At 38.9% G+C, this 1,035-nt stretch overlaps 1 non-coding gene across 1 annotated transcript; it reads left to right on the forward strand.

The window, feature by feature from the left end:
* Positions 1-274: 274 nt before the first annotated feature.
* Positions 275-488, forward strand: LOC124901220 (small nucleolar RNA U3). Its single transcript, XR_007059179.1, has one exon. It is a non-coding gene; the product is annotated as a small nucleolar RNA U3 (small nucleolar RNA).
* Positions 489-1,035: the final 547 nt, after the last annotated feature.

The following is a 1,035-nucleotide window of genomic DNA, read 5'->3' on the forward strand; positions in this document are numbered from 1 at the left end:
TTTATGAGCAGGAAAATATCTCTTGTTTTTGGGTAAAGAGATGGCAAGAAACCTCCTTAAAGTTTTGTCACTAGCCAGTCTCGGAGTTTTCCTACTTTCTGCATTGTGTCAAGAGCTGTTTTATGACCTTCTCTCTGCTCGCTAGCAATTAGAGGAACACAGGTTTTGCACACTTAGACTTACTAATATTCATATCTGCAGGTCAATTTGAGTGACAGCATTTCTGGTCAGTAGAAATACTGACTGTGATTCAAGAAAAGAAATGACTAGATTTAAGACTATACTTTCAGGGATCATTTCTATAGCTCATTACTAGAGAAGTTCCCCTGAACGTGTAGAACACTGGCAACCATGAGGAGGACATGCAGTGTTCTGTCCTGAGTGTGAAGCTGGGTCTTGGTGTTGCTTTGCTGCAAGTACCATTTGCCACTGATGATTGTTTTTGTCTCCCTCTGGGACAGTAAGGGAAAGGACACAGTCTGAGTGATTATTATTGAAAGCGGGAAAGAAACAGAGAGAAGAAATGAAGAGAAAGAAACAAAGAAGAAAGAGAGAGAAAGACAGAAAGAAAGAAAGAATAAAGAAAGAGAAGAAAAGAGAAAAAAAGAAAGGAAAAGAAAAGAAAAACTACCAGATTTTTCAGTGTTAGCGCCCACAGTTCCTAATATCCCATTCCTACCAGTCTCTGAAATCACTTTCCCTGGATGTCTTCCTGAGTTTGGCTACTGCACCCACTGACAGTTATACAGCAATGATAAGAGAGGGGTGACACAAAAGAATGCTGACAGCCTGAAGCCACTGACAGGCTGTCTCTGCTGGCAAGTATAGCATTCCTGATATACTTAATTAACTAATATCATTAAGTATTACTAATTTATATATTAATATAATTTTGGCTATCAACAATAAATCTCCTCTGGTTTAATAGGCAGATGATTGATGTTATTTGTCTCTTTAGAAAGCTCTCTGGAAGAAGCATAAACCCATGAGGTCTAGAGGGAGCAGATAAAATGGCCAGAGTGGTGAACATGACAA

The sequence above is a fragment of the Homo sapiens genome, chromosome 5, assembly GCF_000001405.40.
Source record: "Homo sapiens chromosome 5, GRCh38.p14 Primary Assembly".
Taxonomy (NCBI): domain Eukaryota; kingdom Metazoa; phylum Chordata; class Mammalia; order Primates; family Hominidae; genus Homo; species Homo sapiens.